The sequence below is a fragment of the Homo sapiens genome, chromosome 1, assembly GCF_000001405.40.
Source record: "Homo sapiens chromosome 1, GRCh38.p14 Primary Assembly".
Classification (NCBI taxonomy): domain Eukaryota; kingdom Metazoa; phylum Chordata; class Mammalia; order Primates; family Hominidae; genus Homo; species Homo sapiens.
Window position 1 is genome coordinate 244645438 of NC_000001.11, and position 16186 is coordinate 244661623.

General features: G+C 43.7%; 1 protein-coding gene across 8 annotated transcripts in view, besides 3 other annotated features; it reads left to right on the top strand.

The window, feature by feature from the left end:
- Positions 6360-6933: an enhancer, noted in NCBI's record as "NANOG-H3K27ac hESC enhancer chr1:244815099-244815672 (GRCh37/hg19 assembly coordinates)". NCBI's record gives its function as "activates a minimal SCP1, AML or CMV promoter by ChIP-STARR-seq in naive H9 embryonic stem cells {active_cell/tissue: H9 hESC(naive)}" and the evidence as "EXISTENCE:reporter gene assay evidence [ECO:0000049][PMID:30033119]".
- Positions 7193-7352: an enhancer, noted in NCBI's record as "active region_2841". NCBI's record gives its function as "activates an Ori minimal core promoter by ATAC-STARR-seq in GM12878 lymphoblastoid cells {active_cell/tissue: GM12878}" and the evidence as "EXISTENCE:reporter gene assay evidence [ECO:0000049][PMID:35858748]".
- Positions 7433-8202: a silencer, noted in NCBI's record as "silent region_2016". NCBI's record gives its function as "represses an Ori minimal core promoter by ATAC-STARR-seq in GM12878 lymphoblastoid cells {active_cell/tissue: GM12878}" and the evidence as "EXISTENCE:reporter gene assay evidence [ECO:0000049][PMID:35858748]".
- The window catches only part of DESI2 (desumoylating isopeptidase 2), a 55908-nt gene continuing 47410 nt past the window's right edge, over positions 7689-16186 (top strand). For 5 of the 8 annotated variants that reach the window (NR_123735.2, NR_123736.2, NM_016076.5 and 2 more), the window contains exon 1: positions 7689-7918. Coding sequence is in view for 5 of the 8 variants with exons in the window: in NM_016076.5 (NP_057160.2) it covers positions 7877-7918 (42 nt within the window). In the remaining 3 variants the exon portion in view is untranslated. Of the gene's footprint in view, positions 7919-8475; positions 8589-16186 lie in introns of those variants that run through there. The other 3 variants (XR_001737208.3, XM_011544203.4, XM_011544206.4) reach the window with 1 other exon arrangement.

Genomic DNA, 16186 nt, shown 5'->3' on the forward strand with positions numbered 1-16186 from the left:
AAACTAGGACAGGAAAATCTGGATGGATGCCTCTGAAGGTGTTGAGCTCTGCAACCTCCACCCCTCCCACCCGCCTCTGGGCACGCAGAGATGGCCCACTGCTCCCTATTAAGGGTTAGCCCTTTTGCTGTACTACAAGATGCTGCAGAAGCCTCGGCCTCACAGGGCAACAGGTGCCCCCCGACCTACAAGGCTGTTGGTTAATGTCTACAATAATAATAACAAACAAGAATGAAAGAAGAGGCTGAGGGACATTGCCCCAGTAAAAAGTCATGGTCCCTTGCTCAGTCCCGAGACCCAGAGTACATTTTCAGACCCAGAACCCATTGACTGAAGAGGCGGCCAGGTTCCCAGGAAGAAGGATCCTGCAACACTGTGGCAAGTATTATATATACCATGACAATTCCCCCAGAGACCTGTGGCTGTTTACTCAGGTGACTTTCCTGGGGAAAGAGGAATAAGCAGACATTTTGAGGACTATTACACACAGGTCTCAGTTGACATTAATACCCAGAGACCCAAAGTGTCATCAAGCCTCCCCTTTAGAGTGAGGGCCTATGAGAGCCACAGTGGCTCCACCCACCCCGGGGCCTCTCCCAGTCTCCAAAGCACATACTTAGAATTATATACTTGGCCGTGGGAGTAACGCCCACATCGAGGCCCTTGGTTTGTGAAGCAGGAGCAATCAGAGTGGGAAAGGCCAAATAGAAACCTCTGAAACTGGCCCCTCCACAAACCCCGACAAAGTGAGAAAACTGTTATTCTGGCGGGTTGCAGGGGGAGGCAGATATTATTACCATCATTAAAGACCTAAAAGATGCAGGGTTGGTGGTCCCTGTTGTATCTTTGTTTAATCGCCAGTCTGCAGAAAACAGATGGATCCTAGAGAATGACTGTTGACTCCCGCAGACTCAACCAGGTAATAGCACCAGTTGCAGCTGGTGTGCCAGATATGGTGTCACTGCTAGGGCGGATTCATCAGACCTTGGGTATACGGCATGCAACTACTGACTCTGCAAATCTGTTCTTTTCCATCCCAGTGAGAAAAGAGGATGAGAAACTGTTCACATTCACATCAACAACAATATTCAATGATCTACCTATTCTATGGAATTTCTAAGTAGATATCCTCATTTAGATAACTAACAAAGCAAGTTCATGTCTGGTCTGATCGCGGTAGAACAGATGCCATGGTAGACTAGATGCCTGGGTGCCATGTTGTTGTGGCATCAATGTTGTACCCATTAAGAATGGAAAAGGCACTAGGGAAGCTGACTGCCCAAGTTTCAACAAGGATGACCTCCATCTTGTCACCAATAGGGGATCATGTTCTTGGAGACGAGGGAGGCACAGAATTGAGAAGTGAGCTATGTTGAACCCTTACCACCTATCTAGGGAAAGTTATTTGTCTTGCCTGAAATATAACCTCCAGATATAGACTAGCAAAGCATTATCAAAAACCTAGCCAATCACATTTCACTTTCATTTGAACAACCTGGTACAATTACCAATGGCTTCAAAAGTCAAGTATATCAATTCCAATTATGCATAACTTCATAACTAAAGACGTCTAAGACAAAGAGCACCATTGTCCCCTGAATTGTCTAACTAGGCTATCTTCTCAGGGACCTGGTCATTTTGAAGTGGAAAATAAACAGTTTCAAGATCTACTGGAGAATTCATATGCCCATCTTCTAACACTGCACTGTATATCCAAATCTTGCAGTAAGTATAGTCAACCAATAACAACTGATCTAACAGAGGATGGGGCATGGGGAGTAGGGTGGGGGGAGCTGAGCATGACCTCTCAAATATTTCTCATGGTGGAGCAGACAGGAAACCAGCAGGGGTCTGGAACACATAAGCCATTCTTCACTCTGGCTACCACCTCAGTGGAGGTGACAGAGTTTTAGATAGCCATCTGTGGTAGCCAGCTTCCAGGATGGGCTCCAGTGATCCATGTATTCACACCCTTGTGCAGTATCACCTCATATTGCTCCAGAGTTGGTCAGTATGATCAACAGAATATAGCAAAAGTAAGGGTAGGTCACTTCTGAGACCAGGTTATAAAACACTGCAGCTTTCTTGTTGATGACTCTCCCATTCTGTTTTGGATCAATTGCTCTGGGAGGAACAGCTACCATGTCATAAGTAGCCCTACAGACAGGCCCATGTGGTGATAAACTAAAGCCTCCTGCCAGCTGATCTGTCAGTGAGCTTGGAAGCAGATCCTCAGGCCCCAGTCAAGCCATCAGATGACTGCAGCTCCACCAGAGACTCAAAGCCAGAAACACCAACCTAAACCGCTCTTGGATTCCTGACCTTCAGAAACTGTTTTAAGCTGCTACGTTTTGGGGTAATTTGGAACAGAACAATAAATAAAACACAGACTCAGTTCATCTCTACAACACAGAGAGCAATAAGCTTTAAAATTAATTTTCCTTTATAATGGTTTGGGCAGCTTAGATCTCTCCCAGGCCACCTAAGAAATAGTGATTTTCTATGCTTTGCTTTCTGTTGCCGGGGCCTCTCTATCTAGGGAGGGATATTGGTGGGAGACTGGAAGGCAGGAGGAGGAGGGACTTCCTGTTTTCTACCTTCCGGTCAGCAGGAATGTAGGCAGGCTTCTTCATCTAGCAGCAGTAGCGCTTGATTTCAGCAGCGGTGGATAATTCCTAGCTCGAAGTTTTTAAAACTTTCCAGGGCCGATGTCATTGTGCCCCTTTAGAAATACCAGAGACCAGCAGTTCTCCTCTTCAGGGTTTGCAATTCCAGCTTAATAGGGCTCTCCTGCAAGCTTCAAAAATCTTTCAATTCTGACCTCTTTATTCCCCCAGACCTAAGTGTCCTAGCTGTTTCTAGCTTTCTGACACCTCAGTGTTCCCTTTTTGTTTCAGCCCTCTAATACCCAATTTACAATTCTGTATACTAAATTCTCTTTGTTCATCCGTTTCCTGACAACCACCTCAAATAAGTCTGCATGTTATGTTCTACTACTGTCTCCTTCAATTTAAATTATAAAATTATGAGTGAATATTTATATTCTATTGTATATTATGTAATAGAATAATTCTATATATAAGAATTTATATTATATATTTTATTATAGGATATATGTAACTATATTCTTTTCTTTCACTGGATTATAAGCTTCATGAGGGTAGGGTCATGTCTGTTCTATCATAGTGAATTAGTGATACAGATATATAATACATAATATATATAAATAAAATGTAATATATAATACAGATTATATATTATAATATGTAATATAAGAATATTATTATATAAGTATATTTTTGGCCAGGCGCAGTGACTCACACCTGTAATCCCAGCACTTTTGGAGGCCTGGAGGCCAAGGCAGGGGGATCACCTGAGGTCGGGAGCTCGAGACTAGCCTGACCAACATGGAGAAACCCGGTCTCTACCAAAAATACAAAAAAAATTAGCCGGGCGTGGTGGCAGGCACCTGTAATCCCAGCTACTTGGGAGGTTGAGGCAGAAGAATTGCTTGAACCCGAGAGTCGGAGGTTGTGGTGAGCCAAGATTGCACCACTACACTCCAGCCTGGGCAACAAGAGTGAAACTCCATCTCAAAAAAAAAAAAAAAAGAAGAATATATTTTTATATTACATTTATTTTATATATATGTAAGAATATATATATTCTTCTCTGTGTTTCACTGGATTGTAAGCTTCATGAGAGTAGGATCATGTCTGTTCTATCACAGGTGAATTAGTGACGCAGAGGCTGACACATCAAAGGTACTCATTTAACACTTGTTCAATGAATGAAGGATGGATGATTCATTATTGATGGATCAATACCTGAATTACATGAGCAGCATAACTCATTCCATCATTAGATGATGAATTCTATTTTGTACCTGATAAATTCAAAGTAACCATGGGCCATCCTGTGTGGTAGGGCAGAATCCCAGCCCCCCCGGGAGATGTTCACATCCTAATCTCCAGAATCTGTGGCTGTTGCCTTTCATAGGAAGAAAGGACTTAGCAGGTGTGATTAAGGATCTTGAGATGGAGGGAGACTCCTCAGTTATCAGGTGGGCCCAATCTAATCACAAGGCTCTTCATAAGTAAGAAGGAGAAATAAGGGAGTCAGAGAAGACATGATGATGGAAATGGCGTGTGGGGTGGGGGGTGGGCACTGGAGTGACGGGGCCATGAGCCATGAGCCAAGGAATGAGGGCAGCCTCTAGAACCTGGGAAAGCAAGGAAGCAGATTGTCCCCTAGAGTCTCCAGAAGGAACACAGCCCTTGATGTTAACCCAGGGAGACCCATTTTGGACTTCTGATCTCTAGAACTATAAGAAAATAAGTTTGTGTTATTTTAAACCACTAAGTTTGTGGCAATTTGCAGCCAAGGGAAACCAACACATCCTGTTAGAGAAGTCCAAGAGGCTGTAGGTTATACTGGCCTAGCACTCTGGAGAGAGAAGAGCACCGAAGATGGAGACATGCGGCTCTTCAGTATACATGCAACAGTTACAGCTGAGAGTGGATGAGATCACAAAGGGCAAAGGGAGTGTGTACAGTAAGAGTTAAAGTGAATCTATGGGGACTGCAGCCAGGACTAAATAAGGTGCAAATGCACAGTGCCTTTTCCCCACCTTTCACAGGAAAAAGGGCTTAGCAGATGTGATTACGTAGTTTGTAATTGCTTAAGGTGGGGAGGAACACCATGGGAGGAAAGAGAAGCAAGGCAGCTGATGCACCAAAAACAGGTTTTAGAACTTTGTCAACAACCTTCCAGAGGACAGTCAAGTAATGATGTGCACAGCATTTACTGTCCCCCAACACTACCTGACAAACCATATTTTCCAAGTTTACTTATTTCCTCTATTTTACATCACCTTCTGTCTCTCCAAACTCCCTATGCCCCTCTCCTCACGTCTTACTCTTTGAAGACATTCTTGCCTCATAATTCACTGAGAAAGTAAAAGTAAATCAGGAATAAACACCCTCATTTCCTACACTCCCGTATTTCTAACCTGCCTACCCGTCTCCGTGCCTTCTATGCCGTAACTGTGCACCTGCATCTGCCTTCTATGCCATCACTACAGATGAAGCATCCCCCCTACTAAACAGCAACCATTAACTTGTGTCCTGGATCCCTCTCCCTTCTTTGCCCTTGCAAATCTTTCCCTCTCCTATATCAATTTTTCTCCCTTTACATGCAAGTATGCCTCAGCATCTCCCATCTTCAAAATGCCCTCCATTGACCACACCGCCTTATCCAGCTGTTGCCCCCAAGTTAAGTTGTCTCCCTTTTGTCACCTTACATTTGCTTCTCAAACTGTTAAAGCAGTTATTTAAATCTCACTCCTCCCAGAGACCGCTCACATCAAAGCTACCAGTGATTTCTATATTGCTGAATCCAATAGTCTTGACATCAATGTTATCATGTTCTTTCTGATTTTCCTCCTGCCTCCGTGCTTCCTCTTCATACTTTACTTGACCTCTACATGGTGAAGGGTCCTAGAGCTTTGTTCTTGGCCCACTTCTTTTTAGCTACACATATTCCTAGGTCATCCAACCAAGCCCCAAGTCTATAAATGGCCATGACTCCAGTTTATTCAAATGTCTACTACTTGGCAGTCATGGATGTCTAAAAGGCATCTCAAACTTAGCATGACCAAACCATAGCTCTTGATTTCCCTACCCCCAGCCTGCTCCTCCCCAAAATGTTTCACATCTTAGAAGTGCCAGGACTATCCACTCAGTTCCCCAAGTCAAAAATCTAGAAGTTATTCTCGAATCCTCTCTCCCTAACCAACTCAACATCTAACCCATTAGCAAGTTCCACAGACTTTACTCCAAAATATTTAAACTCTAATTATTTCGGTCTCCACCACTATCAGCCACAACGAAGCCACTTGCTGGCATGCACTTCTGGAACAGCATCCAATTGGTGGACTTGATTAACTTTTGCCACATAACCACCCCCAAAACTTTGTGACTTAAAACATTATTTCTCACATTCTGTGGGTTGGCTGGTCAGTTCGTCCGATCCATGTGGTTGTGGCCAGGGAAGGATAGTCCGGGAGAGCTTCACATGTTCGCAGTTGGTTGGTTGTCAGCTGGATGTGGGCCGTGACTTGACCACGTGTCCCTCATCATCCATCAGGCTAGCCCACACTCATTCCTAAAATGGTGGTCACAGGACTCCCAAGTTCAGCAAGAGGGCAAGCCCCAACTCACAAGTGTTTTTTAAGCCTCTGCTTGCACGATGTTAATGTCCCACGTCCACAGCAAGTCACAGTCCAGTGCAGTCAGTGGGGGTAGACACCACCAAAGAGTATAATTTGGGAGACTGGAAATAATTTGTGGCTATTTTCACAATCTGCCACACTCATCTCCCTATTTCCACCTCCTTTGCCTCTCTGAAATCCATTTTCCACACAGCAACCCAAGTAATCATTTTTAAACACACGCACACTCATTTCACTCCCTGGTCCAAACTTATGGCTTCGTTTAAAATACAACCCCTGTTATGAATTTTAAAATCCTTCCGGGATCTGGCCTCTGCCTACCTGCCCAGCTCATCTAGTACCGTCGACTCCTTGCCTACTGTGTCCCAGCAAGAGTGATCTTTTGTTTCCTTGAATACAGAAAACTCCTTCATGCTTCAGATCTTTGCATTTGTTCCCTTTGACTGAAATACTCCTCCCCCTCATATCTGCGGGGCTGGCTTTGTCATTCACATTTCAGCTTAAAACTCATTACAGCGATCTTCCCCGTGCAGCCAATTTAAGAATGACTTCACCTTACTTAAATTTTCTGCAAAGCACATACCAGTGATATTTTGTATGTCCCTGTTCCTGTTTATCACGGCATTCCCGAGGGCCTACAACACTGCCTGGCACATAGGAAGCACATAACAAACATTTGTTGAATTAATGCAGAGCTGCATACTACGTCCCAGGATTGTGCTAAGCTACGGTTACTGTACCCTTCCCATCTCAGCAGGATAGTTTCACAAAATGTAAATTCCACATTGAGGATTAATTGGATGCACGTTACACCTCATCCCACACCAGTAACTCGTCTTCCTCTATTTCCCCACCACTCCCCTTGCCAAATAAAAGGTGAGGAAGCATTTGGAAAACTTAGGGTCATCACTCTGGTCTTTTGCCACATTTCGCTGGCTTCATCGAGCTCAACGCAACATGAACTACTAACAGCAGCAGCACCTGAGATGAGAGGGTGAATGAAGGTAGGAGATTTCACCGCCCGCGGGCGGCAAGGGATCTGCCGCAGCTCTAAAGCACTGCATGCTGGGAGTTGTAGTCTCCCGGGGAGGCCTGGTCTGGTAGGACCGGGGCCCCCGCGGCATGCAGGGAGTTGTAGTCGAAGGGCTGTTGAGACTCCGCCTCTGCACTTATAGTAGCAAGGGGGAATCCTCACTGCATGCTGGGAACTGTAGTCTTCCTGGGTCCCCGTTCCTCCAGGACGCGGAGGCGCCGGAGTTGCCGCCATTTTAGGTCCCGAGGTGCGCCGGCCGAGAACCAGAGCGCAGGCGGGCTCAGTCCTGGCGCCGGGCCGGCCCCGCCCCCGGGGCGCCTGGCGCCCGCCCCTTGCTCAAGCCCCGCCTTTCCCCACGTGTCTGCCGCCTAGGGGAGGTGCCTCATCCGGAGCGGGCCGCCAACGGTCCGGCCCCGTCCGCACAGACGCTCCTGTCGGCGGCGCCCGGGAGCGGCTCGGCTGCCCGATGCTTCCGCCCCGGCTGCCGCGGGCCGGGCTGTACGCTTAGTGCCCGGCTCAGGCCCCCTGAAGCGCCCGCGGGGGTGAGAGCGGCCTCCGGCCCCGCGGAGACGGAGCGGCTTGAGGACGAGGCGGCGGCCGCGGGGAGGAGGATGGGGGCTAACCAGTTAGTGGTGCTCAACGTGTACGACATGGTGAGTGCGGCCCCTGGCGGCCCCGAGCCCTGGCCCAGGCCGGCTTCCTCTCGCCCGTGGGGCTCGGACCCCGGCCCCAGGCGCTTCCTGCCTGGCGTCTCCGCCTCCAGCCTAGTTCTCGGGGGAAGCCGGGGGTGAAGGAGGGAGTATTGTTATTTTTTAATCCTCGCACTCGTCGACGCTCCGGTGAACCCAGTCAGCCCGAGGGTTTTGGCCAAAGCTCGGGTGGGCTTGAACCTCTCCCATCCGCTCAGCTTGGACCCGACCCCGGCTCTGGGCCCGACCCCTTGGCCGACGTGCAGTGTCCTTTCGGCAAAGCTTCCGTTGCGTTTCCAACCCCACTTGCCGGCCCCCGGGGCTGCCCCGGGACCCCCGTCCCGACCGCCTGCGCTCCCAGCTCCTCTGCTTCTGCCGAACTGTCCGTCTCTCTCCATGGCTACGTCTTCAGAAACTCCCAAGCCCCTCTAAGTCCAGAAGGTCACAGCTTTCGGGTGCCTGTGCTAGAATCTCTTCAAAGGTGAACAGGAGCCAACACACCCTTTCCTTGTGTGTTAAAGGCAACCTCGTTAAAATATGAATGAGGCTAACATTTCTCAAGAAAATAGCCCAGCTGAATTATTTAGAGATCCTGGTGGTGCTCCTTTCCTACACTCTGAAGACCACTTTCCAGGTGATGCAACAGGTGACGTGACCACGGGAGAGGGAAGGGAAGAAGTTGTTTATTGTATCATCTAACTTTGGAGTATGGCAAGCACGCAGAATCGAGTCCAAGAACTGGTTTGCCTGATTTTTGCAGTGAAATGCCCCCAGAAAAAAGCACCCGGTAGAGAATTGTCGTTGCAGTTAGATGCATGTTTGGGTGTGTTTGCTTGCTTTGTTCTGTAGAATGGGTTTTTGTTCTGTAGACTGGATTAGTACCTCTGACTGCAGTGCTTAAAATTCCTTGTAAGTTGACTGACAAATGAAAAATTGCCCGTCGTTATTTTTGTTGGCTTAAAGATGCAGGAGAGCAGAAATACTACAGGCCAAGAGTCTTATACAGTTCTAAACTTTGTATTCCCTTGTATTATTTATAAGTTTCTAAATTTACAGTGTTATTATATCTTGGGTAGAGTGGGATTTCTCATGCCATATCTGGGAATTGTGTCAGAAGGGTGTAGGAACTGCCTGCCACTTGAGATGAGTCCTCTGTTGAATTCTGATGTGAGCCTGGAGATGAAAGGAGATGAGTTAACATGCTGAGAAAAGTGGAACAGGACAGAAAAAGTTGAAGAGGAGAATAAGCCAAACAAAAGATCCTAGAAAACCATGGCACTTTGTAAGTTCTGTGGCCTGTGTCACTGGTTGAGAAATAATTCTCTGGATTTAAACTTTTTGTGTTCAGCTGAACACCTTTATCTTTCAAGACTCTTAACTGCCCTTTTACTTTCTCTGTGCACATCCCCCTAATCTGAATTTGGTTTGTTTTTTATTCATGAGGGCTATTACTGTCTTTCAGAATATATTCTGCTCTTGAGATCACAGTGTGCCTTTTCTCCTAGATTATTAAACAAACCCGTATTTAAATTAGGAGTATACAGTGGCCAGAAGCCATGGTTTCAGAGCCTAAAAGAATTTGTGAGAATAGAGGAAGAGAGTTTTACCTTTTATATGAAAACGAAAATGCATGTTTTGGCATATAGTGGGCTTCTTTACACTTGAGGCATTCTGTGATACAGGAAAATCTGCAAATTGTGGTCGATTGGGAAAAGCTAGAGATGGTATTCAGTATTTTCGAAGGGAGGACTGTTCTGAACGATGTTAAAATATTGACTAATGAGCGAGATCTTATTCTTCACATCAAGTTTGTAAAATAGGTAGTTAGAGAAGCAGCAGACAGGGGAGAGAGTAAGTGATCTGCCTAAACAACTAAAAATACAATCTAGAATTTGTAGACCAAAATCTGATTCACTATCTTCTCTACTAATTCCTGCACTTATGTCTTTATATTGCTTTTGCCTGTGAACAGGAGATGAAGCATATGAATGTTTATCGGAATGATAAATAGTTGAATTATTAGACTTTTAATAAACTTGGTCTTATATGTTCTTTTGAGGGCTTTGAGTGTTTTATGTCACTAATTCAGCAACCTACCATTACTTATTATTTTTGACCTGGTAGAAGCCACAAGGATGAGTTAACTGTCCTTTCTTCTTTAAGGAATTTAGAGTATTGTAGAGGAGATACACAACAGTGGCAACAATTCAAGACAGAATAGCATGGTTTTGATAAGAGCAGACAAGGATGCAAAGGAGGAGACTATGTAGTTGTAGGATCAGGGAATGCTGAAAAATCAAAGGTATGAAACTTGAAGAATGGGTAGCATCCACAAGGACAGAGAACAATTGACGTGAACAAAATGGCAGGAATAGGGAAAGCGCAGGTGGGATTTGGGAACTATCAGCTGGTCCAGTATAACTAGAGTAGAGCATAAATGAAAGGAGACAAAACTGAAAGTTTGATTAGAACTTCTTTAGTCAGATGTGTTGTGGGCTTGGGTGAAGGGCTGAGGGGGCTCCTTGAGCCAGCAGAACCATTTAAGGTTTTCATGGAGGGGAACAGTGTGATCAGTTGTTTAGATTGAGATACAAATTTTGGTCTGTTATACTAATTTTTCTCAAGTCAGTTTTGGTTTTTGAAATATTTTTGTTTGATGCCAAGGGTAAATTCCTTTTATCTTTGGTAATTCTTCCTATTCATCAGAGATGCTTTGGATGAGGGTTGCTGTTGTCTGTATAGGCCTAGTACATCAGCTGTCTGGTTCCAACTCTGTAAATATGAAAATCAACCTTAGGGATGCCCTTATAATCATGGTTATAGGGACCTCTTGCCATGTGTCCTTGTGTCTCTTTGTTAGATTGTCACCCGTTCCAGTTCTGATTGTATTTTTCTATTTTCTAGATTGGGCTGCTGCGGATCATTTCTTTTCTTCCATAACTCTGCCGTATGCATGAAAATAATTCTATTGGGGGTCACCAGTATTAACTTCCTTCTCATGGAAGAAGAGTGTGATCCTCAGAAGGTTACTTAATTATGCATAGTGTTCCTATTGCTTGCTGCCTTATCAGTGATTATGTTCCTCTGTGTACTTTGGAGTAATCTACCACCAATAAAAACGTCCTGGAGCTACTTTCTGAGTCGTGGGAATGAGCTTGTTCACGTATTCCTAATTGACTGGCACACATAGCAAAGCAGGTGACTCAGATTAGTTTCAAATACTGAGACAAATCTCTGGTGTAGTCATTTTAAGTCTTCATTTTTCATAGATCCAGATTTTGTGCTTTTCAGGTTATCTTGACTAATGAATTTTTATAAAATAAAAATATGCAGGTATTTGATAATGTTTGCAAATTCATTGTGTTAACAAGTTTCTACCAGTTTTATTTATTTATTTTATTTATTTGTTTTCTCACTCTGTCACCCAGGCTGGAGTGCAGTGGTGCGATCTCGGCTCACAGCAACCTCTGCCTCCCCAGTTCAAGTGATTCTCCCGCCTCAGCCTGCCAAGTAGCTGGGATTACAGGCACCTGCCATCATGCCCGGCTAATTTTTGTATTTTTGTAGAGGTGGGTTTCACCATGTTGGCTAGGCTTTTCTCAAATTCCTGTCCTCAAGTGATCCGCCCGCCTCAGCGTCCCAAAGTTCTGGGATTATAGGCATGAGCCACTGTGCCCAGCCAGTACCAATTTTATTATAAAGTAGTACCTATACATCTTCAAAGTCTTTAAAGAATAGAAAAGAACCACTTTCTAGGACACTTCAAATAAGGACATTTTTGTCTGGACTCCGTTCTTTTGACGCCTGTCTCCATTAGACTCCTCCAACAGGGTGTCAGGTCAGGCAGGTGTGATAGATCCGATTTCTCATACATCTGCAGATCTAATTCAGACTTTTTGAACAAGTTCCAGAATCACACATCCCACCTAAATGGTTCCTTCGTATCTCAAATCAACATGTCCAGGAACAAACTTCTTCCCTTTCCTCCTGTCCACAGCGCACATTCTTCCTCTTGCCCCATGCCACTGCCCAAAAAGCCACCACTTTTGTTGTAGTTTCCCAAACCGGAAACCTGGGAGTAAACTTAAATTCTTCTTTATTATAAACCCTTCACAGTCAGTCAGCTGGCCCTGTCTCTTTGTTTTAGTTTGGTTGATTCTGTCTGAAAGCAACAGAGAGCTTGAGAGTCAGTGGCTTAAGCTGGAAGGATACTTAAGTCCAGAGATAAACAGGCCCTGGATTAGTTCAGCAGCTCAGCTGTGCCATCAAGAACCAGGACTTTCCATCCTTTTACTCTACCATCCTCAGCACGTTGGCTGTTGCCCTTGGTTCGTCCTCTCATAATTGTAAAGTAACTGCCATAAGCACCAAATAGTATCCTCAGTCAGCAGTATGTGAAGGAAGATGGAAGAAGATAGGGTCATTTTCTACATGCACCTCTGTTCTTTTAATAGAAAGGAAAAACTTACCAGAGCCCCACTCCTTCCCCGAAGAGATTATCTAGAATTGGCTCGTGTGCAACTGTGATGAAGCTGAGTAAGTGGATATCTGGTGTTTCTAACCTTTATGGTGAGTTGTGGGTGAGGAAGGCAAAAAGTTGGAAATGGCAGTTTGATGGGAACCTATGATGTCTGTCACATATTTTACTTTCTGGATATTATTTAAATCGGTTACTTTATCCCCATTTCCACTAATGCTTCTCAAGTTCAGGCCCTCATCTCTATTCATATAATAGCCTCCTTACGAGTTTCAGTCTCTAGTATTACTTCATTTTAATCCTTCCTCCATTCTGTTACCAAAGTAACCTTTCTGAAACATAACCAGGATAAAGTGTAATGCACTTTATGATGTGGCCCCTGGCTGACAGTTAAAGGTCCATTTCCCTCTTCTATATAACAGTCTTTATTCTCACACAGTGAAATTTTTTAGCTGTCCAAACAGGCTATATCACATCCCCATATCTTTATGCATGCCCATCCTTCTGTCTGGAGTGGCATTGTCCAGCATTGATCACCTGCAACCTCCTGCTTGCTCCTTCTGGCTGTAGCTTAGTCTTTATTCCTGAGACTTGAGTGAACTCCTATGCCCTAGTTGTGCTTCGTGCCTGTCTCCATTACTGCGTATACTATCCCGTGCATCCCACCAGACTGTGAGTTCTCCGATAGCGCCATACTATGACCAGTGTCTAGAACAGGGCCTGTCACTAGATGGTGTTCTAGAAATATCCGCTCAATGAGTGGGGCTTTAGCTGGTTTTTATTAGGAGAGTTGCCAGTAACTTAAATGGCATGAAAAGATCATGTGATCTTCCTCTTTGTGCCAAATGCCTATTTCTGGTGTTTTTTTCTTGTACCTTTGCTTAAGTGCATTGCTAGATTTTAGCTTTGATTGTTGGACTAGGGTGTCCAGATGAAGGGGAGGGGAGGATTATAGGAATGGGACAGAAAAAAATCAAATAGTTTTCTTTGACAAAACTTAAAATACTATGGGACTAGACTGAGGAAATGTTTTTAATAAGTTTATTTCTTGAAATTGGATCTTAATTACTCTTTGGAAGATAATCTTTCCGAAAACATTGTCAGTTCCTGAATTTTAACATAAATTAACTAGTTAATAGGAATAATAGGAGCTGGTCATCCATCTTTTTTTTTTTTTTTAAACGGTAAGGAATTTACCTTAATTTACTTGTATCAATATGCTTCTTGGGCAAATAGTGACCCATGAGTCTAGCTAAGCAAAAGGACAGTTGTACATCTGCCCTCCTACATTATTTATGGCATTGTCCTCTTTTCTTTTTTAGGGGGGAAGGGGGTGGGGGAAGCTAGTATGTATGAGAAAAGAATTCAGTTTCCATACATATGTACATTTGTTTTCTATTGCAGCAATAACAAGTTGCCAAAAACTTAGTAGTTTAAAACAACACAAATTTATCATCTCACACTTATGTAAATCAGAAGACCAGGTGGGTTAGCCCAGTTCCTCTGCTATAGTCTTCACAAGCCCAAGATCAAGGTGTTAGGCTCTGGGGGCAAATCTGCTTCCAAGCTCATTCAGATTGTTAACAGAATTCAGTTGCTTATATTTGTAGGTCTGAGGTCCCATTCCTTCCTGCTGTCAGCTGGGATCCTCTCTCAGTTGCTTCAAGTGTCATGCAGTCCTCCATCTTCAGACCGGCAATGGTGTGTGGAATCCTTATGCTTCAAATATCTCTGACTTCACTTTCCTCCACATCTGTCCTACCTCCAGCCACAGAAAGTTTTCTGTTTTTAAGAGGCCAGGTAATTGAGACCCACCCAGATATTCCAGGATAATTTCCTGATATTGAGGTCCATAATTTCAATGACATCTGCAAAGTCTCTTTGCTATGTAACATGTTCACAGGTTCTGGGAACATTCTGGGGAGTCATTCTGCCACAGTGCCATCTATGAAAGGTGTTTTGTAAACCCAAAAATGTTCAGTTAAAAATTGTTTCATCATAGCAGTCACTCGACTTGGCATAGAATAAATATTGACCTAGTAACTTAAGCTGGAAAATTTGAAGTATTTGAAAAATACAACTCAGATGCCAGTAGGGTCCAAGCGTATTGGTGACTAAAACCCCTTCAGACTTGCAGTGGCATACCGTTCCAGTGTATATCAGTTCCATGGTCACATTTATAATGGTGGATAAAGTTAACAAAACATTTGAAACTTGTAAATCAGATACTTTAAAAATACCAGAGAGCCTACTATTTAGATGAATTCTTTGTTTTATGGATTTTTCTTTTTTTGTTGTTGTTTTGTTGTTGTTGTTGTTGTTTTGAGACAGAGGTCGCCCAGGTTGGAGTGCAGCAGCGCCATCTCTGCTCACTGCAACCTCCGCCTCCTGGGTTCAAGCAATTTTCCTGCCTCAGCCTCCAGAGTAGCTAGGACTACAGGCGTGCGCCACCATGCCCAGCTAGTTTTTTTGTATTTTTAGTAGAGGCAGGGTTTCACCATGTTGGCCACACTGGTCTCAGTCTCCTGACCTCATGATCCACCTGCCTCGGCCGCCCAAAGTGCTGGGATTATAGGCGTGAGCCACCGCACCCGGTCGGATTTTTCTTAAGATGGGATGTACTTACACTTTCCGTTTGTTGACTGTCGAATTCTCTACAAGATTATTTGAATTCCAAAGCAACATTATTGTGTAAATGTCAGCCAGTTGGTTCATAAAATGTAAAGTGAGAAACTGCCAAAATAATCTTAAACTGTAAGAAAGGCAAAAATAATAATAAAAGGACAATGGGATGCATGAAAATAATTTTGTTTTAGTTTATCTGGAATGTATTTTGGTATAGATGTGACAGTAACTTAAAAACAATAAATTAAAAATCAACTAATTGGCCCCACATTATTTGAAATAAGTCTTTCCTCTCTAAATTGTGATGTCATCCTTAATCATAATACTAAATTCTTACCCATACGGAATTGTTGATTCTAGCCTTATTACCACACTGTTTTAATTATTATACTTTCACGTTATATTTGGAATCTGATTAGGCCAGTTTCCCTTTACTATTATTCCAAAGCTTTATTGGCCTTCATTTCCTTTTCTAGGAGTACTTTGTAAGGCTCGCTGAAAAAAATTCCATAGGTTTTTGTTTTGTTTTAATTGTGTTAAAATACACATAACATAAAATTTACGTTTTTAACTATACAATCTACTGTGTTAGGTATATTCACATTTTTGTGCAACCAGTCTTCAGAACTTTTTTATCTTGCAAAACTGAGACTCTATACCCACTAAACAACAACTCCCCATTTCTCCCTCCCCTCAGTCCCTGGTAATCATCATTCTGCTTTCTGTCTCTGTGCATTTGACTAGATAACCTCATTTAAGTGAAATAATACAGTATTTATTTTGTGACTGGCTTATTTCACTTAGCATAGTCCTCAGGGTTTATCTATGTTGCAGCATGTATCAGAATTTCCTTCCTTTTTAAGGCTGAGTAATATTCCACTGTGTATGTATATGCCACAGAAATCAAGCTAATTTTCTTTTTTTTTATTATTATACTTTAAGTTCTAGGGTACATGTGCACAATGTGCAGGTTTGTTACATATGTATACATGTGCCGTGTTGGTGTGCTGCACCCATTAACTCATCATTCACATTAGGTATATCTCCTAATGCTATCCCTCCCCGCTCCCCCCACCCCACCACAGGCCCCAGTGTGTGATGTTCCCCTTCCTGTGTCCAAGTGTTCTCCT